At 35.7% G+C, this 26,276-nt stretch overlaps 1 protein-coding gene across 8 annotated transcripts in view, besides 1 other annotated feature; it reads left to right on the forward strand.

The window, feature by feature from the left end:
- The window catches only part of MSRB3 (methionine sulfoxide reductase B3), a 188,225-nt gene that overhangs the window by 145,594 nt on the left and 16,355 nt on the right, over positions 1-26,276 (forward strand). The window lies entirely within an intron of this gene.
- Positions 6,257-7,456: an enhancer, noted in NCBI's record as "P300/CBP strongly-dependent group 1 enhancer chr12:65824313-65825512 (GRCh37/hg19 assembly coordinates)". NCBI's record gives its function as "activates an origin of replication core promoter dependent on BRD2, BRD4, P300/CBP, MED14 and CDK7 cofactors, with strong dependence on P300/CBP, by STARR-seq in HCT116 cells {active_cell/tissue: HCT116}" and the evidence as "EXISTENCE:reporter gene assay evidence [ECO:0000049][PMID:35650434]".

Here is a 26,276-nt window from a genome sequence, read left to right on the forward strand (position 1 = left end):
TCATTGAACTTTTCTTTTTTGTCTAGTCTCTATTTATTTCTGCTCTGATTTTTATTATTTTCTTCTTCCTGCTATCTTTTTGCCTAGTTTGTTTGTTTTCTAGTTCCTTGAGATGTAACGTTAGGCTGTTTATTTGAGATCTTTCTTCTTTTTTGATGGAGGCAGTTATTGCTAAGAACTTTCCTTTTAGAAGTGATTTTGCTGCATCCGATAAGTGTCAGGATGTTGTGTTTCTATTTTTGTGTATTTCGAGATATTTTTAAATTTTTCTTTTAATTTCTTCTTTGACCTTTTGGTTGTTTAAGAGCATGTGTTTAACTTCTTCACATGTGTGAATTTTCTGAAGTTCCTCCTATTATTGATTTTTGGTTTCATATTATAGTGGTTGGAAAAGATGCCTGATACAATTTCAGTTTTCTTAAATTTGTTAAGTTGTGTTTTGTAGCCTAACATATGATCTGTCCTGGAGAATGTTCCGCTTGTGCTTGAAGAGAATATGTATTCTGCTGCTGTTGGATAGAACGTTTTGTACATGTCTGTTAGGTCTGTTTGGTATGAAGTGTAGTTCAAGTCCGGTGTTTCCTTATTGACTTTCTGTCTGGATTATCTGTCCACTATTGAAAGTGAAAATATTGAAACTCTTTGTTATTATTCTATTATAGTCTATCTCTCCCTTCATTTGTATCAATATTTGCTTTATATATATATATATATCTCAATATTTGCTATATATATATATTTAGGTCCTCTGGTTTTGGTTTTATATGTATATTATATATATTTACAGTAGTTATATGCTCTTGAAGAATTGACTGCTTTATCGTTATATAATGGCCTTCTTTGTCTCATTTTACAGTTTTTGACTTTTAATCCATTTTATCTGATATAAATATAGCTACACATACTCTCTTGGTTTCTATTTACATGGAATATCTTTTTCCATGCTTTTATTCTTAATTTATATGTGTCCTTATAGGTGAAGTAAGTCTCTTGTAGGCAGAATATAGTTGGGTCTTGTGTTTTTATTCATTTAGCCAATCTGTCTTTTGATTGGAGAAGTTGGTTCATTTACATTCAAGGTAATTATTGATAGGTTTGGCCTCATTAGTGGCATTAAAAATTATTTTCTGGTTGTTTTGTAGATTCATTTTTTCCTTTCTCTTTTATGACTTTCCTTTGTAAGTGGATCATTTTCTCTAGTGGTATTTTTGATTTCTCACTCTCTATCTTTTGTATATCTACTGTAGCTTTTTGTTTTATGACTACTATGAGACTTATATAAAACATATTATAGTCATAATAGGCTATTTTAAGGCTGATAACAAGTTAACTTTGATTGTATTACAAAATCCTACACTTTTGCCTCACCCATCTCTCTCACATTTTATACTTTTGCTGTTACAGTTTACATCTTTTTTTTTGTATATCCCTCAGCAAATTATTGTAGCTATTATTTTTAATAGTTTTGTCTTTTAACTTTCATACTAAAAATTTAAAGGATTTCTACACCATCATTACATTATAAAAGTATCCTGAATTTGAGGATGTAATTACTTTTATCTGTGAGTTTCATACTGTAATTTTTGTTTTAGTTTTTTGAGATGGAGTCTTGCTCTGTTGCCCAGGCTGGAGTGCAGTGGTGTGATCTTGGCTCACTGAAACCTCCACCTCCCAGGTTCAAGCAATTCTTCTGCCTCAGCCTCCTGAGTAGCTGGGACCACAGGCATGTGCCACCACGCCTGGCTAATTTTTTCTATTTTTAGTAGAGAGGGGGTTTCACCATGTTGGCCAAGCTGGTCTTGAACTCCTGAACACAAGCAATCTGCCCGCCCGCCTCAGCCTCCCAAAGTGTTGGGATTACAGGTGTGAGCCACTGCGCCCAGCCTCTAGTGTTTTTATGTTACTATTTTTTGTCTGTTTTTTAAGTTTAAAGTATTTCCTTTAACATTTCTTTTAAGAGGGTCTGGTGATGTTGAACTCACTTAGCTTTTGCTTATCTAGGAAAGTGTTTATCTCTTCTTTACTTCTGATGGACAGATTTCCTGGGCATTCTTGGTTGGCAGTCCCGTCCTCCCCCTGCACTTATATCACCCCACTCTTTCCTGGCCTGTAAGGTTCCTGCTGAGAAGTATACTGCTAGCCTTATTTGAACTCCCTTAAATGTGATTGCTTCTTTCCTCTGGCTGTTTTCAGAATTCTCTCTGTCTTTAATTTTTGACAGTTTGATTATAGTATGTCTTGCTGTAGTCTTACTTGGATTGAATCTGATTGATGATATTTATTACCTTCCTATACCTGGATATTTGTATCTTTCCCTAGATTTGGAAAGATTTCTGCTATTATTTCTTTAAATAAGCTTTCTGGCTCTTTGTCTCTTTATTCTCCCCCAAATCCTATAGCATGAATATTTGCTCTTCTGATGCTATCTGATAAATCCCTTAAGGTTTTATTCCTTTTCATTCTTTTTCTTTTATTCTCTCTGACTGTATTTTTTAAGATAACTTGTCTTTGAGTTCATAGATTCTTTCTTCTGCTTAATCAGTTCTTTTTACTTCTCTATGGGTTTTAAATTTCATTCCTTGTATTTTTTGGCTCCCTAATTTCTTTTTTAAATATAATTTTAATCTTTGTTAAAGTTCTTGTTTTGGTCTTACAGTGTTTTCCTAATCTTATGGAATTATTTCTCTATATTGTATTGAAGTTTGCTGAGCTTTCCTAAAACAATTGTTTTGAATTCTTTGTCAGGCAGTTTGCATATCTCCATTTCTTTAGGGTCACCTACTGGGAAATTATTGTGTTCTCTTGGTAGTGGTATGTCTCCCTGGTTTTTTATGTTTCTTGTTGCCTTATGTTAATCTTTGCACATTTGGTGGAACAGTCACCTCTTCTAGATTTTATGGGCTAGCTTTGCTGTGGAAAGTCCTTCTTTTATTGGGGGCTTCCAGGGAACTTGCTGGGTGGGGGATGTAGCAATTCTAGCACCAGTGAAGGTGCAGCTGTGTATGTCTCTGCAGCTCTGTCAGCTGAGGTCATTGTTGATGGAGATTGCAGTGATACTCAGCAGCTGATACCACAGTGGCAGTGAGGGTTTCTGGGTTTTCTGTGTCCATAGTGGCAGTGGCAGTGAGGATTGTCCACAGTGGCAGTGAGGGTTTCTGAGTTTTCTATGATAATGGCAGCTAAGGGCCTCCTGATTTCTTTTTCTTTCACTGAGGAAGTTGTGGCTGAGGGGATTTCTTTTGGCACTGGATTTGGCTTGCAGGCCCACTCGCAGTTTGGTGTGGCACTAGTGTCTGATGAGTGGTGCCCATGGAGCAGCCATGGAGCTGAGGCCTGAAGCACAGGCACAAAAGGAAGGAATATGGCTCTGGGCTCTGGGGTGTAATGGCACTAGTGTCCAGTGTGCAGGCACTCTCACTGCCACACTGATAACAGTATGTAAAGCTCAGATTCTTGTAAAGTAGCCGGGGAGTCAAAAACTAGAGCACAAATGTGTGTAGTTACAGTGGTTTTGGAGTCAGAGCAGGGCCTAGCTCACTGTGGTGGCTGAGCTGGTGCCTGGAGTGCAGCCATGCACAGCAAGAGCTTAACTCTAGGTTCTGGAGTACAAATTAGCTTGCTAGTAAGCTCCAGTGTCTGAAATGCTCCAGTGTCTGAAATGTGGACAAACCCAGTGCAGCCACAGGACCCAGGTCTAGAGTGTGAGGACTCAAGAGGTGTCCAGAGTTGAGGCACTTAGGGGATTTGGAGAGTTGGTGGCTTCTTTCCCAAAGCAGCTCAACAGTGGCCACTTCTTGGGTTGGTGAGGTGTGTGTAGCTGTGTCTTCCTCTCTGGGGTTCCCTGTGAAGAATAATGGTTTGTTATTTCAGTGGCAAAAGATATTGTTGTCATCTGCAGAGCAGGCTGCTGAGGACCATGGTGGTTTTCACCACATGGCTGATTCAGACAACCTCTGCTATTCTTCTTTGTTCTGGGCAATATCCTGGCATCTCAGGTATACTGATCTTACCAGTTATTTATTTTCTGTGTGTATATTTTTTTTTTGCTCCACTGTATTGTTGCAAAATCTTAAATAGGATCTTGGGGACTCTCTGGGGTTATTTTGTTTGGAGATAGCTGTCTATGTTTATTTTGGGGGTGCTAAAGGGAGAAAGCTGATATCTCCTACTCTGCCATTGTGGTTACATCCCTATTATTCATTTATTCTTTTAAACACCAATTCAACACTTGCTCTAATGGACTGGGCATTGAGTATATATGGTACAGCATAGACTCAGGCCCTTCCTTAATTAAGTGAGTTTTTAAAATAAGTTTACAAACAGGAGTACGACATTATTGGCACTAGCAAATCTAATCATGTAACCCCTCTGCCCAGAGTTTTTCCAAGGGCTTCTAATTGACTATGGGATGAAATATCCCTCCCTTTGCATGCAATCAAAGGCTTTCATGACCTAGACCTTTCTCTGTCTATGTTCAATTTCTCTACTTCCCACCCCCATCTTTAGCAATTGGTATTTTAGAAAACGCTAAACTAATTCCCCAGAATGCATTGTGCTGTTATTGTTGTTTCGTGCCCCTACATATGGGGTGTCCTCCCTTGGAATATCCTTTTTTTCCCCATAAGATAGACATGGGGTTTCTTTCTACTAGAATTATATGCCCCTTGTAAAACAGCTCTCTTATGATTACTTACCAGTCTCTATTGTCTTTATAATTTTTTTGAGGGTGGGACTGTATGGTTGCCTCTTGTTTTACCCTTGGCCTCTAGTATAGTTTTAAACACATCCATTAAGTCAATATCTACTGCCTTAGGGACAGGAGATACAGTGGCAAACAGACAGGGCTCCTGCTATTAAGGAGTTACTAAACAAGGAAACAAATAAATGGGATGATATTTGATAGGAGCTATGCAGGAAATAGAAAGGATCTATTTAACCCTTTGATATTGTTGATCCCATGATAGGGAATGATGGTGGTAGGTGGAGGGAGACGCTCATTTAAATAGGCATTTCAGGGAAAGCCTACTGAGGAGGTGATATCTGAGCCAAGGTCGAAAGTATGAGAATACAACCACACAAAGAGCTTGGGGGAGTGTTCAAAGCAGAAGAGAAAGCAAGTATTTGATATGTTACGGCAACCAAGAGAAGACCAGTGTGGTTGAAGCACAAGGGGAAGAGTGGTTTGAGATGTGTTTGGAGAGGTAGGCAGGAGTTGGATCATGCAGGTTTTTGTCCACCTTCAAATATTTCTTGAACTGAATGTGTCAAGCCTGAAATCAAATTCTGCATATTTTGTCCTTATCCTCCAGCATATCCTTAGGCTTCATTTCTCTCCAGCCATGTTCCCACTGGGCCCACTGCAATAAGAGTAAGAGTGTCATACATTTCTCTCCAGTTTTATTAGTGGGATTTTACCAGATCTGGAAATATTAAAGGAAGGAAATTGTTTTCAGTGTTTGGTCTTATGAGTAGGCCTTTAACAACAGCTATATCATAATGAATTCAGGATGATGTGAATGATGATTGCAGAGGAACTGGATATGCACAGTTCATACAGACCTCTAAGTAAAGCTTAGAGCTTGTTTCATTTGCTTCTGGTTTTTATCTCAGTATGATCCAGCAACCTAAAATAATGAAAGAAGAGCTCCATTTCCAGTGACCAGTTCAGTCCCTGCACTAGCAGAAAGTTAGTGTAGAATCCAATGCAAAGATCACATGTAAATTCTAGAAATTTTACTACATTTTTTTTTCAGAGATGACAATTGAATTGCCTGCTTTCCTTCCTTCCTTCTTTCTTTGTTCCTTCCTTCCTTCTTTCCTGAGCACTGAAGGATGTAAGTGCTGGTTTGAAGAATCTAAAAGGCTTCAGGGTAACAGTGAAGTGGACGACACATTCTTCTTCCAGCTGCTGCTGTTCACAACACTTCTGACAGTTAAAATACATCACACATTCTCTTGTCCTTTTAATGTAAACATTTACTGTTTTAAGTGGACTATAGAATCAAACCAAAATAGAAGGATGCAGACTGATATTTCAGAGGTGAAGCTAAGCACTAGACTAAATTAAATAAGAGTAATTTGCAATCTAACACATAGTTATAATACATATTGTACATTATACTCTGTTTGTCCCTGGGAAAGATTAAACAGAGGGCTTTCATTGCTTGCTGTATTTTTACAGCCTGTTACTAGAAAAGAATTTCATATAGAACAGGCAAAATTTTGAATTGGAATTAAGTTAAAAATAAATGGAAAAAGTAGTAAGGTCAGGGTAGCCTCCTTGGTGTTGATTTTCTCCTATGCTTAAGCATCATCTGAAAGTCAAGAAAATGATCGCATCTCTAGTTTTTGTTGTTTGTTAATTTCCTCAGGAAAAACTTGACCTCCTTCTTTCTTATTACGTTGGCATCTGTCTTAAGCCTTTGCCTTCAATTCTTATAGCTTCTTTCAAATTGTATTAAATTTGAAGACTAAGAACCTTCAAAATGACTCACATTTGAATCCTGGACCTACTCCTAAGCTGACCTGTTCTAGTTTTTAAAAATGGATGTGAAATTTTGCTTAGAATCCTAGAAGTTAAAAATGTGACATCCTACAGAATGCCACTTCATACAGGCAAGTCTGGTGCCCTTAAAGTTAGTTTTACCCTGAGAGGAAAACTTAGAAATGAATACAAGTTCAAGTTTGCTCAATTTCTTGTTTTGCTTAAAATTTGCCTACATAACACATAAATTCATCAAACTCCTTTCCTAGTGACAATACTTCATTAGATTACTTTAGTGAGTATTCAGGAGATTTTCATCTTATGAGTCATAAAATTCTTTTATTCCCCAAAGAATTTCTGGTGTCTGATTGGAATTTCACGTCTTTGTAGTTTTAGCTGGACTCTTTGAAGCAGTTACTTCCTAAATGACTGTATTCCTGAGGCCTGCATGTAATACCTGGGGAGCTGGGTCACAGGTTGACTCCTGTTTTTCAAGAAAATTGAAAAATCAATCTCTTTCATTGCTTTAGTCTTAGTAATTTTATTCAGAAATTTTCTTAAACTTTTTAACCTCCTCCTGTCATGACAGAGAGGTTTTCACTTGCTGCCTATACAGTTTCCAGCATTAATTTTTTTGTGCCTACTTAGGCCCGTTTCTGTCTATTTCTGTGAATACATCCCAGCGATTTAATGTTAGTATGTTTCTTGCCTTTCCTGTCAGGTTTTCATCACTCGTTTGGTATAAAGGAAAAGGGGATAGAATTACAAATATACTGGACCATGTAGCTATCGATGAGAAATGTCTTCAGATATCCTTTTACTTTTTTCTTCTTCTTCTTTTTTTAAAGTTCTTTTTGAAGGAGGTGAAAGTCAGGTTATAGTGGAAAGCCAGAACCATTGTGTGTTCCTATTTGAAAAATCCTGGGAAGTGAACATGATACTTTTTGACATGCGAGTTTCAGAAATTCTTAGTGATTATTATAATACACACTCCGCTTATGTGCAGAGCTTCATCTGCATGCACAAGTCTTTGTGTGTTTTAAAAGATAATGCCTAACTCTTCTGTTTATAAATGGCAGTAGCTGAGTATGCACAGAAGAGACTGAAGTCTAAGTCTGGATGTGCTATTTGGCTACATTCAAACAGCATGGGACAAACACAAAATGTAAGGCTAGTAGAATATTGACACTAACAAATTATTCGGAAGTTGGTTATTAGGAAATCTTTCACTGGACTTCAGTATCTTTGGTTTCTTTAAGAACAAATCTAAAATTTTACCCCAAAAGCTAGGTAGTTATATATTATTTGTATTATGGCTCCTTCAACACATAACTTTTTTAAACTTTTAAATCAATAAAAGAAGGGATTCTGTCTATAAAACACAAAGGAATACACCAAGTTAATGTTTTAGTTGATTAGTATATTATTTTGAGAGTAGAAAAAAATCAATGCAAAATTACTTGCTATTCACATATATGCAGAAAATGTAAGTCCTTGGAATGTAGCACACATTATCATTACATAATCTATATCCATATGCTGTTTATAACAAGCTGAAATGTTATACCCTTGAGAAAAGAACCAGATTCTGGCACAGGACTGTTTTGTGGCAAGGAAAGATGAATGGATTCCAAAATTTTAAAAGGGGGGAAAAGCTTGATGGTTCCACAAAAAATAAGAGTTGAAATGGGGATTTAGAGATATATATGTTAACACAAGCTGACAATTAAAGCAATTAATTTCCTTCTTTATCTATATCCCCTCCTAGCTCTTCTAATCCTGACTAAGGTAAATGGATTGACTCACCTTTTTAGCAGATGAAGATAGGAACAAAGATATCTGGCATTACAGCCTGTCTCCCCATCCCCCGCCATCCCCATTTGTAGCTTTTTTTTTTACAGATGTTTTTTTCCATTAGTTAGAATAGTTAGTTCTTAAAGCAGTTAGAGACAGATCTGTACCAGTCAGAGAAGCAGTGGTTCAAGCCTGTTGGCTTAATTGCTTTGAGTATGTTGCTAATGATGCTGGGGCCACATGTTAGATAGCCAATGTGAGCGTTTTTATGCAGTGGAAAAGGTCTTTCTCCAGACAAATATTGTACCTCTAATCCTTTTATGAGTAAATCTGAGATAAAGGGATTTGTGAATTTGTCAGTGACTCATTAAAAATATATTCTGAGTCCCTTAGGATAGCTATTATTAAAAAACAACAAAATAATAAGTGTTGGAGAGGATGTAGAAAAATTGGAATCTTATACTAGTGGGAATGTAAAATGGTACACTTAATGTGAAAACAATATGTCAGTTCCTCAAAAAATTAAACATAGAATTACCATATAATCCAGCAATTCCACTTGTAGTTATATATCCAAAAGAATTGAAAGCAGAGACTCAAACAAGTATTTTTTCTCCAGTGTTTATAGCAGCATTATTCATAGTAGCCAAAAGGTATTTTTTTCCTTGACTCTTTTCATTTTAGTTTCTTCTGTTACAAATTTATCTTTCTTTAAAATTTCTTATGGAGTCATATTCTGTTAAAATTTTCTTTAGAGTGTGAAGTATTTGTGGTTTGATTTCTTTTCTGTTTTCTGGGATAAAACTTCCAGAAAAAAACTTCATCTTTTTTCTCCAAGTTCCTCTTAGAATTAAAAAAAAATTTTTTTAATTGTCCATGGTATTCAGTGCAACCACAATTTTCTAATGTCAAATTTCAGTAGTTCTTCTGGTCTCAGTCTTCTGCAGTACCTCACACCATCATGCACAGAATGGTGTGAGGGAGATACTTTACACCATGGCCCACAGACCTGGGAATTATCACTCTGGCCTTTCTGAATTTCATCACCCTCCTGCTTCACTGTGATGGTCTTTCTCCAAGGTTGTTGTATGATATTGATAGCTTTCCTAGCTTTCAGGACTGAGAAAATATTTGTCTTTTCAAAAATTCATTTTGTTTCATTTAGTTTCTGCTTAGGGAAATCTTTAAGTCTCTACACTGCTCCCTTCCCCAGGGTTGCTATTTGGGTTTATATTTTGCATGTCTCCAAGATTCTCTCTTAGCTTCCTATCCTGCAGCCCAATAAGAGACGACCCATTCCACTTGTATATCTCTGGTGCCTCACTAGATGTGGCAGTTCAGGTTTTCTGAACCACCTGATCTGCAGGGAGTACTTGATCTCTTCCTTTATTTTCAAAGATCTTGGCATATTCTTTTGAAATCCTCAGTGGTGGAGAGTCTTTGCACTTTGAGGTGCTTACTTTTCTAAGTGTGAACAAATTACCCTTGCAGCAGTCTTTTCTGGAATCTTTTGGCTTAAGGGCTCCTCATTTAGTGTATGGGGTCCGTCCTTTCTCCATTTTTTCTTTTTTTGAAAATTAGACAAGTAGAATCTTACTGTCTGCTTTGTATCCACACCTAGGAGCTAGACCTACACATCTATGTCTACATTTCATTTCAAGTTCTTGACTCAACCCCCTAATTTCAGTCCAGCTCCTTTGGAATTGGCATTCCTCCTTTGATCCTTCTGCCCCAACTCTGGTGTCTGTCTCCTATAGGATTTGGCTGAGATCTGCCCGTCTACCTCTGTTCTAGAATATCCTTTAGATCACTTTGTCCACCCAGGGTGCAGGCAGTTTAATATCTAGTTGAGAAGATAAGTCTAACATGGTAAGACAACAGACAATAATATGAACTATCACCAAGTAAGTTTTATTGTATAATAGGTGTTGATAGGTGTCATAGCCATTCAGAAATAGTGAAGAATATTTATGGAAAGCTTCAGTGAACAGATGGGACTTGAAAAAGATATTAATAAGCGTTGGGACTTGGAGTTGTAAAAATTCCAGTCCAGTGAAGGAACATGAATGACGGAAGAAGGTGGGAAGGAGCTTGGCATATGGATGCAACAATGAAGATTTCCTCAAAATACTCTATTTTCCTTCCATTAATGAGATAGTAAATAGGAGGCTCTTAAAGATTGTTTCCATCTGGAGGTTACTATCATGTAAATTCCTTACATTTGTGTGGTGATTAGCTATTTTAAATGCACTGATATAATTATATCATTTGGTCTTTGTAACAGCTTTGTAAAATCACAGATGAGTAAATCACATCCTAAGTATCTTGCCAGAAATTTCATTGCTCATGCATAGTAGAGCCGGGATCGATTTAGGCAGTGAGAATCTTGTGTCTGGGAGACCAGTTAGATGTTATCTACACAGAAAATGGTGAGGCTCCAAGTTTTGATGGTGGCTGTGGAATGGAGAGGAAGGGATGGAAATTAGAGGTAGACTCCACGGCACTTAATGACTAAGTGGATATAGGAGTACCACATATGTGCTTTGAATATTGGTAACTGAAAGAGTTGTGATGCCATAATTAAGAGACAGGAACATATATGTAAGTCAAGTCCCTGATTTGTAATTTGAAGCCCATTTCTTTTGTTGTATAAGAGGTGGTAAAGATCTCTTTCTGACTCATTGCACCTTGTTTAAAATTTTTTGTTGCTTTTCCATCTTTTGGCCAAGATCAAATCTATATTTTAAAATGTTTTTCATATGTTTCAAGACTGTTTTGAGTTTACTCTTTAGTATTTTCTCTGCCAGGCTACGTAATCCTAGTTGCTAGTTTATTTAGCCATTTCTATAGGGATGTTTTTAATGCTTTATTATATTTGTGATTGTTTTCTGAATCTTTGCCAGCTTCTCCACGTGTCTCTCTGATGTTAAATTCAGATTTGGTCATAATATTTTGTCAGAGCTATAGTCTGAGCAATATTGATTTTGAACAAAGAGTAGTACATCAAGTTTCTTAAAATTTGTACACCTGTTTGTTCACAGCAGTATAATGTTACACTACACTGATGACCCAGATTCAGGTTATATTTTCTATAAAGCACTTTGAAAGATTTTGATAACATTTTGTGGAGATTTCTAGGAAAGATTTGATAGACTTGGAGGCAACATTTCTTCTACTCTGAAAGGTAAAGGTCTTGACATTCATTTCTCATAAGAAAGGAATTTATCAAAGTAGCAATAAAAGATAAGGCTAGAGTTAGTAACCCAAGGTCTGTGAACCCTGAAGCTTGGTATATGTATTTGGATTAATTTTTTTCTAGGGAGAGTCCAGATATTTTGTCCATTTTTTCAATAATAGATGTGGCATACAATTAAACTGTATCTTCCATGCTTTTTCCATTTAATACATCCTACTTAGAAAAGTTAGATAGTGAAAAATGATTATATTCTAGGAAAAGTCATGGTAGTACACCCCAGGTAGGAATGAGAAGTTTCAATATAGTGTCCCTGGAATATTCAGGCATAGGCTTTAGATAAGGAGTTCTTAACCTGGGGTCCTTGAATTAAACTTAGAAGATCCATGAATTTCGATGGGAAAAAAATCCGTATTTTATTTTCACTAATCACAATTTCCTTGAATTATGATATATGTTACAGATAACCCACAGAAGTACCTATAAGTTTGTCACCAATAGAAACCACAAATGTTTTCATATCATAATACAGTCATCACAGATATCTCAAAATAACATTTACACTAATTACTACTTCCAAATTATGATAATTAGTAGATCCACCATTAAAGCTTGTTATGTAATGTGTTAATAAAGAAGCACATATTTACTATATAACGCATTTGTTTTTTTTCAGTATTTTGATAGCAGTATTTAAAGATCATTTTTCCATTGTAATCCCATATATTTGTTCTCATGCATTTAGAAACATTTTCCTGTAGGCTTTGCCAGACTTCCAAAGGGTCTGGAACAACAATAAAAATTCAAGAAACCCTGATTTGGGTGTTATAGCATCATTTCATCATTTCTAGAGTTTTTTAATTCACTGAACATTAAGCAATTCAGGATTTCATTACATAATGTTGTTTATTGAGAAGAAAATTTACAAAAATCATTAATCATCTGGTAGAATGTGAACTTTTCTAGCTTTCAGAAATGTTTCTAGCTTCTTACTATTTTATTTCTGTTCATCACTAGTTATATTCTGTAATAGACTGTCTCAACTTGTCAACTCTCTGAGCTGCCACAGAGATTGTTTGGTGTAGGATTTAGAAGAAAGAATTTTGGAGACAATCTTGGATTTACATGCCAACTTCACTTAACGGTGCACAGTAAAGTGGCCTTGTGAAAGGTACATAATAATCTCTAAACCCCAGTTTCTTTACCTGTAAAATGGGAATAAATAGGATGTGTACACAATATATACGACAATAAATGTAAAGCACTTAGCATAACATCACAAATAATAACAATAATACTCATTGGAGATGGTCCTGTGTGTGGCCTTATACTTTCTATTCCAGTTTTTCTGAACCTCTTGAGCTAAATAGTGACAGTAATTTTGGTATGGACAACTTGAGTAAAGTTTTTGCCCCGTGGACTAAGGGGCCAGAGAGCAGTGTCAAAAAGCATGATGGCAGGATTTTGAATGTGACAGATCATGGAAGGAGTTTGACTTAAGGAGATTTATGGACTTCAAGAGTAGAGATCGGCATAGCCACTTCTAAGTGTACTCAGCCTTCTTGCTCCCGGAGACTAAGAAGCGGCTAAACATCTGAGCTGCATCACTGTTCGTGACAGGAATTTTGGATACAGGAGGCTTTTTCTTATTCTTTATCCTCTTATTCTCTCAGCAAGATCTGGTAGTTCATCTGTGTCTGGATTTTCACTACCTGTAGGACTACCAGCTTTTGGATTATATTAATAACCAGGCCTGAACCCAAGTGAGACAAAAAAGAAAAATAACAACATATCTAAGTGAGTCCTGCAGTGAGACAGGATCAGTCTGAACAAATAGACACATATCTGATAAAACAGAGTGCCTACAGTAGACAGACGACAACTAAACCAAGAAAAAAAAAAGCCAGCTGTCATGACACTGTTTGCCTAATCCAGTTATACTCATCCCTTTTGCCAGGGCAGAAGTGAATATTCCCCAGGTGAATGAATAATAATTGATCTAAGCCAATCATAAAATTCCATTTCCCTTGTCAGTGGTTGATTTCAGTTGGACAGATGCTCCATTCCTGATCAGTTGGATCTGAGAGATTTTTGCTAGAAGTTTTGCTAACTAACAAAATGAGACACACTGGCTGAAGTGCTCCCTTTTTCACTAGATGTTGTTTTGTCTGCCTGTGGTGTCTGGAATTACTGTAGCCGTTGTGTGACCATGAGGGGGATATCACTGACATTGTGAGGAGGGCAGACATTGTCCCTGATGAGATAATTATGCCACTGACTTGACCAACATGGAACCACTTAAATATAGATTCCTTGTTATGTGAAACAATAATTCCTTTATTGTGTAAGGCACTTTTATTTGTGTTATTTATTTCTTGCAGCTGAAAAATTCTTTCTGATACAATTAAGGGAATTCATGTCTAGTCCCCAAAAAGTGTTTTGGAGATTTGAAAAGATCATGATTTCCCACCTAAACAATTCAGTAGGTGAGTTGAAGGAAGCCACTGCTGAGACCAAAATTTGTTGCCTAGAAGATCAAATGGAAGAATATCTCAAAGCACAGAGCAAAAACACAAAGAGGTATAAATCTTGAAAGAAAAATTAAGAGACTTGGAAGATAGATCCAGGAGGCTTAACATGCAAATAATCAAAACTTTTTTGGGGGACCTATAGAGGAACTCAAGTCTACAGACTGAATAGGCTCACTAAATTCTACATAGGATTAATGAGGAAGGTAAAGCCTAGCAAGATGATACTCCCGAACTTTAAGGATAAACACAAAATCTTATAACCTTCCAAATTTACAATAGAAGTGTTAGGTTAGCATTCAGTTTCTCATCTGCAATCCTGGAAAATAGAAAGACAACAGGATAACATCTACAGATAACATCTACAGGAGAGGAAGGCAGAGTGGAGGAAAATGAGAGTTTTCCAAAGGCTTTATTTTACTTGGGTGGGAGGAAAGGGAAGCAGAAAAGGGAGGATATAGCATCTTGATATGGAAGACAATGGGTCTTTATGGAGGAAATGGTATCTGATTTTCCAATAACAGCAGATAATTCTTTGTTTGTGAGCACACACACACACAAAGGAAAATCCTGTAATAATGGGCAAGAATGGAATGAATAGGAATTTCATCTGAATAGCAGAAAAAGGGGGACAAGCACAACATAAAATGGACAAATATAAGGAAAAATGAAAGGAAAATAGGTATGTCTCTTGTTAAGTCAAATATGAATGAACTGAATTCTCCCATTACAAGACAGATTGTCAGAGATTGAGTTAAGTTCTAGTTATTTGCTACTTACAAGAAGCAAACAAAGTATAAAGAAAGCTTTATGGTTAAAACATACTAGGCCAAGGCAAACAAAACAGAAAGCAGAAATGGCAATATTAATATCAGACGGAGTGAAAATTAAGCTAAAAAGTACAGAGGATAAAGGGGAATTATATGATAATAAAAAGGTACTATTCATGAAGAGTACAAAGCAATCATAAACCTACAGGAATAAATTAACATAAATAATAAATATATGAATAAGAATCTTAGAAATGAAAGAAAACTTGATTTAAAAATACATAGTTACGGTGGATAACTTTGATCTCTCTCTCAGATTGAGACATATGTGTAGTCAAACTAAATAAGGATAGAGGATAACCCAATAGTACAATCAACTTTTTTTAATAGATGAAGTATCTTTCAAATAAAAAACATCTTTCAAATAAGAAATATAATTTTGTATTCTCATGGAACATTAGAAGATGATATATCATGTATGTGGCTACAAGGAAAATCTTAAATTTTAGAAAGTAGAGATTTCGTATAGCCCATATTTTTATAATAATCCAATGAAACTAGAGATAAATATCTAACTCTATGGGGTACAATAAACATTAAACTTAAAGGAAATGTTGTAATCTTGAATACCTTCATTATTATAGAAAAAAGATGAAAAATAAAGGAACTTTATAAAAAGAACAATAAAAATGCTAGGAAGATGGGAATAAAGATAAAAGCTAAAACTAATGAAACAGAAAACATCAAACGAGTAGAAAGAATAAGTGAATCCAAAGATGGTTTTTTGAAAGATCAAAAAAATAGATTAACTCATAATAAACCTGGTTAAAGAAAAAAACCTAGAGCAGAAATATTTATGATATTTACAAAAAAGAAATACAGTGGTAGATACTTGCCTTTCCTGATATAAGACCAGTCTGTGAAGCCACCATAATAAACTTACATTGGCATAGGGATAGACAAATAGATTAGTAGAGCAGACTCGTAGACAACAGTGTAAACGACAGTTTATAAACATGGTATTTCAACTCAATCAAAAATGAACAGTTTAAAACTTATTGGTAGCCCGATTGGTATTCTGTTTAGAAGAAAATAAAATTATAATACTATAGCATATACTTAGTGAAATTCCTGATTAAGATCTGAATGCAAAACAAACATCCTATATGAAAATATAGGATACTGTATGTATAATTCAGGGGGAGGAACTCTTTTTAACTAAGTCTGGTAGCCCAGAAACCGCAAAAAAAAGGACAGGCATATTTGAATAAAATAATCAAAAGCAAAGTCAAATACAGTAACAATAGATATAGAAGAATAATTATAATGCAGATGTTAGTAATTAATATCTGTAATTTACAAAGAACTGTTATCAATTAAGAAGAAAACTGTTATCAATTAAGAAAATTAAGAAGAAAACAATTTCTTCTTAATTGTGTGAAACAGCCATTACAAATAACAATGCATAAGAATTTAATAATACCTTCCTGAGACTTTTGTAATTTTTTAAACACTAAAAGGAAGCCAAATATCAAAAGACTATATAATGCTATAATAGTGCTACAGTGCTTTATGTTTGTGGATGCTGACTAAGGCTTCCAAACTTTTGTGCCACCCAACAGAGATTTCATAGGTGCCCACAGTATACTACCAAGAAATAGTAACCTATGGATTACTCTGGTCTAGTGACATAAGTAGTAATAAATACTTGAGAGGTGATGTTTATTACAAATATCTGAAATATATACATTGATTGATTGTAATAACATTTTCACAATTTTTGTTAATATTTTCTTCAGCCCCAGGTTGGCTCACTTATTTAACAAGTTATCTATTTAGTGCCTACTCAGTACTAAGGAGCTATATCTTTTGCCTGTTAATCATTTACCATTTAGTGGAGTAAGACTTAAATATTACTGCCCAACTGACAAAATAATATGTCAAAGTGTAGGTCATGGATTATATTATGGGTATGCTTGGACCTTTATTGAATTTCATTTTTTTTTGGTAACAGAGGTCCGGTGGACACATTAAATATGACTACAGTACCATAGTGTCTTTGCCAAATTTATCCGTCTGAGATTCAACACTCTTCATGTGATGACATCTAATTTTAATGCATTTTAAGCTTGTCAGTGGTCAGTTTTAAAGCCATTGAAACCATCAAATTGCAAGGGCTCCTTGTACCTACAGGTCTTGATGCAGGACCCCGGCTCTATGAACTTAGTTGTAGTTCTCTGAGGTGCTCCTAGAGCTGTCAATATGAGGAGTGGTAAGTAGGTTACCTTCAATGAGGTTTCCTGGAATGTAGGCAGTTGTTTGGGATTTAGAGAAGACTGTCATCAGGTGCTAAACTCTTCAACAAATATTAATAAGTTACCTGGAGACTCTGTAACTAATTCGGCTACAAAGACTTGTATCTGTGTATTTTAAAACCAAAGCTACTATTGTCTTTAAATTCCAGATTTCCAGAGTAACAGGAACGTATATAGAAAATTCATTCAACCAAAATGTATTTGAGGAGTTTGGAATACACTGGGAACAAAACAATTATCTTTCCCTTCCTGGAGCTTACATTCTAGCTGGGAAAATAAAGACAGGAGACAAAAAGCATAATAAACAGTTATGATATATTAGAAAGTGATACATATGTGACAAAATAGAGCATTGGGGGTTGGCAAAGATTTCCCTAAAGGATTTTAAAAAGAAGGGGTGGTAATAGAGTATGCTTTGGTTCGATGAAGGTTCCTTCATGCCTTTTCGATGTAATCTATTAAACAAATTTAATATATTAGGGAATGTACAGTATTTGCTAAATTGCTTCAATTTTGCCATGTATCTGCCTGCCACAAAGGCAAAACACCATTTGTCATATAAACAATTCTAAGTAATTATTTTGTCCTAAAATATTTGTTCTTAATAGCTTTTCTGAGCAATCTGTTCTGTTTCTAAAGATAGTTGAAAACTGTATTTTCAAGAATGGTTTTCAGAATTTAAATTTTAGTAGGTGGACTAAGTTTTGACATATCATAAAAAGGTGTTGTAGATCAGTGAATGATCATAGAAGATTTATGAAAACAGGGAAATTCAGGTTTAGCACTTAAAATATATATAATAGAATAAAGATCTAAAGCCTATTCAGAAGTTGGAGAGGTTTCAGTTAGAGAAAAATGTCAGGAGAAAATTTAGATAAGGGAAAGAATGTTGAGACTTAACTGCCCCTCAGAAGTAATCTTACATTTTCATCAGGTACATATATTTATGAGAGGAATTACTCTGACATTTTTGATAAGTACCCAACCAAAAAATGTAAGTAATAGTTTGTCTTAGAGTCCCAAATAATGCTTTGTAGTGAATAGCCCTAATTGAGAACTGCAGTTGAATGGATCATTATTTCATTTTTAGTCTGAATTGCATGTTGCTGGGAGTAGAATCTGTATTTCTTTGAATTTCCCCATCCTATATCTCACTTGGTATTTTTAAGGTCAGTTAAGCACAGTAAATAATCTTTGCTCAGCAAGCAACCCACATCACCATCTTCCTGTCTGATGTAGCTAATAAATTCTAAGCAAACTTCAAACTCCTTGTGAAGCTTCCTAATGGATGCCTCACTGGACTGAAGAGCTTTTGGAAGCAAAATAAAATAATCATCTAAAGTTGAATGTTTTTGGATCAAGGTTACTAGGTCAACACTAAATTTGAAACCATTTTGAGAGACATTTTTTAATGGCACTTAGAAATTATGGCTAAAGATCAGGCTGTTACATGTGATGTAGCTCAGGTCCTTTGATGCTAAAGGTCTACAACTGACTTCTGTGTAAGATGTATTTTTAAAAACATTAACTGTGATTTAAAGTAGCAAGAGACAGTGTTCAGGCCAGGGAAAATAAAATCTCCCTCTCCAGGTTTTTGGTTGAAATGGTTTGAGTTCAGTAATTTTATTGAACCTGAAAAAATATTATTAATAGCTGCCTTCACAAAGGGAAATAGGGAAGCTGGCCCCTGTCAATTCCTGCTTAGGAGTTGCCGAGACATTTTGAGATTGCAAGAAAACTGTGGATGAAATCCATACCAATTAGAGATCCTGTGTGTTTGGAACCATTTAAAAATGTTGTGCAGGGCTCAAAGGAATTAGTAAAGCTTGCTGCAGTACAGCTACATTATTAATCTCCAAAGAGAATAGATACCAGATGTTCACAGTGCCCAAGGACACCTCAGTGTTCTTGACAGCCTTAGTCATATTGTCCTCAAACAGATTCAAATGCCTGAAATGATTATGGGTGATAAGGCTACACCGTTTGTACATCTGAACTTGTTAATAATTTTTTGAAGAAATGCACTATTTTTGATAGGCAGGAAAAGTAAACATGATAAATTTGATATTTGTAAAAAAAATGTCTAAAGCAAAACAGTAGAAATTCTTTGCCTATTTTTAAAAATGTTTTTCCACTTGACCCAGTGATAGCCATATTCAGGCTAAGTGATTATCTTTTTGTGTGTGCGTGCTTAAACAAAATAAATTTACTTCACTGAGTTCTGGAGGCTGGGAAGTCCAAGATCAAGGAGCTCACTGATTCAGTTCCCGGGGAGGGTTCTCTATCCTGGCTTATAGGCAGTCATCATCATTTTTTTTTTCTGATTTTTTATTGTGGTGAAATACACATAAGAAAATTAGCATGTTAACTGTTTTTCAGTGTACAGTTCAGTGGTATGAAATACATTCACATTGTTGTGCAACCATCACCACCATCCAACTTCAGAACTCTTTTCATCCTGTAAAAAGGAAACTCTGGACCCCTAAATAATAATGCTCCTTTCCATCTTCCCACCATCCCCTGGCAACTATCATTCTACTTTCTGTCTCTGTAATTTTGACTGCTCTAAGTGGAAGTTATTACCTTTTAATTCAGTCATATATTGTAAATATAATGTAAATAATGAAATATGTGATATTTTCTTTATAATTCATTTAAGAAATATTTCCATGAGCTTGGTGTTGAAGTTGTAGTAGTTAATAAAGTAATCATGGTCTCATAGTACTTAGTGAAAGAAGCAAACATTAATCAAAAATTACCCATATAAATAAATAATTGCAAACCATGATACATGGCTTGGAAAGAAAGTACTACTGGGTGCTGCAAACATGTTTGACCTGGGAACCTGACCTAGAATTAAAGCTCCAGCCATATTGATTGAGCACCTACTTTGTGTCAAAAAGCAAAACAGATTACAATGGTCATTTAAGGCATTACAGCCATTGACTCTCAGTTTGGTGGACCACAAGATAATTAGGAACAACAACAAACAAATTAAAAATAAAATAAAAATCAAAAAGATTCTTGTAGTCTTTCTTCAAATATGGCTTCTGTTCAGTATCCTTTGGAGCATTTGAGTAATGCTTAAGTTTTTTTTAACATGTCTAAATATTTTTATATCACTAATTTTATTGCAAAAATTCCATTAGGAAAGTAATATTGTAACATTTGAACACTTCAGAAAACAGAGAAAGATGGGATGAGTGATAGGGACCTTGATTCCAAATATCTTAAAATAAACCTCATTGTGTTCTTCCTGTAGCCTTCCTTCCCTGCAGGTTGTAAAAGAGTAGTCTCTGTTCACTGTCTTCTTCACTATGCTTTCCAATCTAATACTCATTGTTGAAATCTGCAGTGTCTCTCAGGTCTTACTTAACTTGTCCTTTCTCTAGATTATGTGACTGCTGTCTGTCCTCCATCCTTAAGCAATTTTCTCCTTTTTCAGACTCTGTCCTGATTCCCTTGTCCTCTTCCTATTTCTGGAAATGCTCTTTTCTTTTCCTCTACTGACTCTTATTCTTTTGCTTAACATTTAAATACCTGCCTGGTTCTCCTCTCCGTTTATATTCATCCCTCCTACATATCCTTATCCAGGACCTTACTGTCTTTTATGTTGTGATGACTTTCCAATCTGCATCTTGAGCTTGGCTCTCATTTCTGAGCCCACATATTCCTTTGTCTCCTAGATCCACAAGAAACTGATTTTGTTATTTTCTCTGTAAAAATGTATCTCTAGCATGATTCAGCTAGTCACACAAGCTGGAAACCTAGTAATAATGTGATCCTGCCCTTCTTCACTGCCCTGCATGTACTGCAATCACCAAAATCAGTAAACTTTGCTCTCTTGATTGCTCTATAAACTCTCCCCTGCTTCCCAGTCCCATTAAAGCTTCATTATTTCTGTTCCAGTACAGTCTCTCATCTGATATATACGTTTCCATGTTCCCTCTTATCCCGAATCCCTCCAGTCTGCTTTCAGAACCATTTTTCTAAAATACAAATTTGATCATGTTACTAGGCTGCTTAAAAGCCTTCAGGTGGCCCCCAATCATCATTTTATCTAGAATGCCCCTGGCAGCAGTGCCACCACCATTTACAACTACTGGGTTCCTGGACAGCTAGATGAGAAAGCAGGATAACTGGTAACCAAAATAAAGTTAATTTTTGAATAGTATATTGTATTTAAATTTTATTTGCATTTTTATCTGCATGAATTTTTAGAGTCTATAGGTTTATGCTAATTTCATGTATATTGTAAATTCCCTACTTTTCAAGACACATATATATAATTTTTTTTTTTTTTGAGACAGAGTCTCACTCTGTCGCCCAGGCTGGAATGCAGTGACACAATCTTGGCTCACTGCAACTGCCACCTCCAAGGTTCAAGCGATTCTCCCACCTCAGCCTCCAGGGTAGCTGGGACTAGAGGCATGCACCACCATGCCCGGCTAATTTCTGTATTTTTAGTAAAGATGGGTTTCACCATGTTGCCCAGGCTGGTCTCGAACTCCTGACCTTAGGTGATCCACCTGCCTCAGCCTCCCAAAGTGCTGGGATTAGAGGTGTGAGCCACCATGCCCAGCCAAGATAAATATTTTAAATATCATTTTTATTTCAGGTACCTCTTAATAAAGCTGAATGAAGCATGGGAGAATGTTTGCCAAAACTAATGATTTTCTTTTTGTCATGTTTACTCTTTGTCTGGACTGAACTAGTTTGCTTCTTGAGACTATTGTTGGTTTGAAGTAATGAAATCATGTCATCAGCATATGGGGGACACATCCTTATATTTGCAATGGCAGGAGGGAAGAAATACAGAAATTCTCAAACAATACAAAGCAAATATAAACTTGAAAAGTGGTCTAAGAAATTCCTTTCCACTTAAGTAGGCAATGAAGAGACCATTCTGACCTACCAATTCTAACTCAGATGCCATTGCAGATGTCATAAAAGTTTGTGTTAATCTCATACAGCTAACCCATAATCCGTTTTTAGCCACAGAGTTAAATCTGAGCCAGTTAAAGCGGCTAAAACTTACACTGATTTTGATATTTTTAATCAAGATTTTTAAAATGTAATTGTAGTTAGTAGAAAAATTATGATGCGTCAAATTTGTTGCTTCTTCAAATGAAATATTAGATGAAGAGACTAAAGTCTGCAGTTTATTAAAAAAAAAATCTTGCCTTCTTATTCAAGATGATAAACTGAGCATACATGTTTGTTTCCCCTCTCTCCCAAGAGATATCTTTAAAATGAGAGTAAGAAAAAGAAGAGGAGGAGTAGGAGGAGTAAAAGTAGAAGAAATCCATTGCAAAGAGAATTGGAGTGGGGTAGGGAGCCTTTAGAAAAGGAAGCTCAAAGTTTTCCCAAGAAAAAAAAAATGGGTGGAAATGCATTAATGGGTGTGACCAATTAAAGAAAGTTGCAGCCCAAAATATGTACAAGAGTTGTTGCCGATGCCCAGCAGAATTACAAAAAGGCTCAGAACTCAGAATTGACAAGAGCAAAATGGGGACCTGACAACGAGGTGCTTAACTGAAAGTCTAAATAACAACTAGACTAGTTTTACATTTTCCTTATCTTCATATTTAGAATGACAGATCATTAGTTACCCACAAGAAAACAAGCCTGGAAGACTGCTCTCTTAAGATATTAAACAGCTTGTCTGGGATAATTGGGGTTGCTATTGAGGTGTTGATATTCCAGAGTAAACCATTCCCCATTGAGGTATTCAGGGAACGCCAGGATGAAGCCTTGTCCATCAGCAAGTGATGACAGCAGTCCTGGAGTTCCCAGGCAGCTTTTATATTCAGAGGAAAGGCTTGCTAAGGATACAAACCCATACTACATCTAATGGCAGAGAAAACCTCCATCAGATGTGTAGGATAACTGACCTTGGCCTCCATGTTTAAATAGGAACTGTTGATCAAAGATCCCCAAAGACAGATGAAGGAAACTAAGAGCTTGAAATTTAAAAATCAAGATAAAGAGAACAATTTCCCAGAAGGAGCAGAGATATTTTAGGGAATCATAGAAAAACTAAAATAAAACAACTCTCTAGTTAATATTCTCAGAAATATTTGAAAAGATACTTTGTTTATAAAATAAGATGATACTGTTACCAAGAAAGCCAGAGGTAAGAATAATGTGAAAAAATAAGTTGCCAAAAAAATACCTACAATGCAATGTCATTTATATAAAATTCTGAACATTTAAAATGGTATATTTTGTTTCTGGATATAGACATGTGTAGAAGATTAATCAAAATAACTGTCGGAATGGTAGGTGAGTAATTGTCTTTGGAGTACTAGGAGGCATAAGAGTAGGGAACAAGGTTAGAGGCAGATCTGCTGTAATCGTTAGAGAAAGATGGGGAGAAAGAAACCTGAAGCCAATATAGAAAACAAGGTAGTATCTGTGAAACCTGGGCAGTGAACATCTGTTAAATTGTGGATACCTAGTCCATTATTTGTATACTTTTGCATATGCTTGAAATGTTTGTCATTAAAAACTCAAAAAGTAAAATTTTGAATACAGAAGTTTGTACAGTTGTGTAATAAAGTCATAATCCAAACAAAAATAAAAAGAAGTGTGGCATGCCTTTTAACAAGTGTTGCTGTATAAAAAATGGAAAATCAATTTGATTTTCGGTCTCCTAGGATTACTTGTTGCAGTAAGGATTTGGCAGAATAACACAAATAATGTTTATTAGTTTTCAGCTCTTAGAATCTATAGAAAAGCACAGAAGACTTAATTATGGTTGGTCACTGGAGTGGGGCAAAGGATAGGTGGAGGGAAGATGAGGGTGCTAAGGCTGTCTTACAGAGTGGGGAGCTGAATGGTATTATCTTAAGCTACTAAATATCTACTTAAGCTAGATATTCATGCATTCGATTTTTCATTTATGAGATAGTTTTTTTGGAACACCTTTTATGTAGCAGGCACTTTTTTAGTTTGTTGCCAGTACAATGGTAAATGAAACAAACTCCCTGCTTTTATTTTTACTTACATTCTAGTTCAAGAGGCAGACATTACCCAATTAGGTTTTAAAGAAATTAAAAATAACCTGAGTATTAAAAGATTGGAAAGGGGAATGGAGGGGAGATTATGTAGGTATAAGTACTAAATCTTAATCTTTCATAAGAAGAAATGAATTTATAATGTCTAAAACAGCACTGTGCAAGGATGGAAATGTTCTATGTCTGTGGAAATCTTGGTGGAAATGTTCCATATGTATATCTGTGCTGTCTAATATGGTCGCCATTAGCTACTTGTAACTGCTGAGAACTTGAAATGTGGCTAGTGTGACTGAGAAACTGTAATTTTATTTAATTTTAATTAATTCAAATTTAAACAATAACATGACTGATAACTACTGTATTGGACAGCACAGGTTTAAAATGAAATAATCAAGAGACAGCAGCATAAGCACATTTTTAAAGAAACAGAAAATCTATTTATCATGGTTTCCTGTGGGTATGGAAGAATTGACAGGGAATGTCTCATTATGAGCCATCTTGTTTGATTTTCTACCACATGCCCATATTTGGTTGATTGCCACTTAAATTTTTGGAAGACTATATTGCAACCAAATGGGTCTTTGAAGGGGATTAAAGAATCATTTTTTAAATGAGATAGACTTTATACCTGAAGCATCAGTTAAGTGAATATTTTATTTTATTTTTTGAGACGGAGTCTTGCTCTGTTGCCCAGGCTGGAGTGCAGTGGTGCGATCTCGGCTCACTGCAAGCTCCACTTCCTGGGTTCATGCCATTCTCCTGCCTCAGCCTCCCGAGTAGCTGGGACTACAGGCAGCCCCCACCACGCCTGGCTAATTTTTTTGTATTTTTTTTTTTTTTGTAGAGGCGGGGTTTCATTGTATTAGCCAGGATGGTCTTGACCTCCTGACCTCATGATCCACCCCCCCAGAGTGAATATTAAATAATTTGGCAAGAGTCAGGACTCTAAGTTTCAAACAATTCTTGTTAGCAGGGGGACTACATAGAGAGTTGGATTATTTATTTTGAATTAGGTAATAAGGTAAATTGTGGTCAGTGAGGTTAGCAGATTCCAGCTACAAATAATCTGAATACTACAAATTTTGAAATATGGCCTTGGAATTAGAGAGCTGTGAGGACTGATACACACACAAATAAAGACCTGTACCTCCAGCTTGTCTCACCAAAACTGTGCTAAAATATGTATCATCATTATTGACCCATCACCCAAACCCAGTGGGATTCATTGCGTTCAAACTTACTTTACATTTGAAAATAACAAAACATGTGTAATTACCTTTCAATTCAATAAGTTCTCATTCATGAGTAGTTTCTGCTGGGTTCTGTTGATGAGTCATGTAGCTGACTAGCAAGGTTTCTAATTTTTATTTTAGGGTGGGGAAGGATTAGGGGAAGTGGAAGCTGTATAGCAATTCTTGTTAAATTAAGAATAGGACAATGAGGGCCACATTTTCTAGATATGGTACAGATAGAATTGGCTTCAACTTGTTTACACTCTGTTGCTAACTTTAACAACATGTTTCACAGATTTTTTTAAAGAAGGTGGAATTGATTGGGATGGAGAGCTAAGAAAGTTTTACTTATGAGGCAGTTGGCATGAAACATTTAGAATTTGTCAACAGAATACTACTTGTGGAGAGCTATGCCATTATTCAATTATGGGCTCAAGTAGACTTGAAACAGATTTATTAAGCTACATTATGGGTTGGAGGGGGAATGATTATTTATGCTGCAATCTAAAAAAAAAATCCATTCTAGTGTAGATGATATAGCAAGCACCAAAGACGCTACAACAACTAATCTGGATCACTTTCTCTTATATTTGAGATGAAAATGAGCATATTCTGGAGTTGCTTCACATGACATGAGTAGTATGACGTTATATCTGCAGATGAATGTGGCCTGATGGGTGAATAAAATTGAGGCAGAACAGCCATATTTCAACTTGCCTGCTTCAGTTGTACTACATATATTTATTTGCTATCTGGAGATGGTAATTCTTTGAAGGGTGAAACTATTTATTGAAAATAAGGCATCCTTGATAATAATAGGCTAATATCTAAAAAGTACAGTTTATATTCTTTGAAATGAAATGATAATAGGCCTAATCCAATCTCATCAAATAGAAACTAAGGGATGTATTGGGGGTGGGGTGAACTGAGTCTGTTTATAC

This window comes from Homo sapiens, chromosome 12 (genome assembly GCF_000001405.40).
Source record: "Homo sapiens chromosome 12, GRCh38.p14 Primary Assembly".
Classification (NCBI taxonomy): Eukaryota; Metazoa; Chordata; class Mammalia; order Primates; family Hominidae; genus Homo; species Homo sapiens.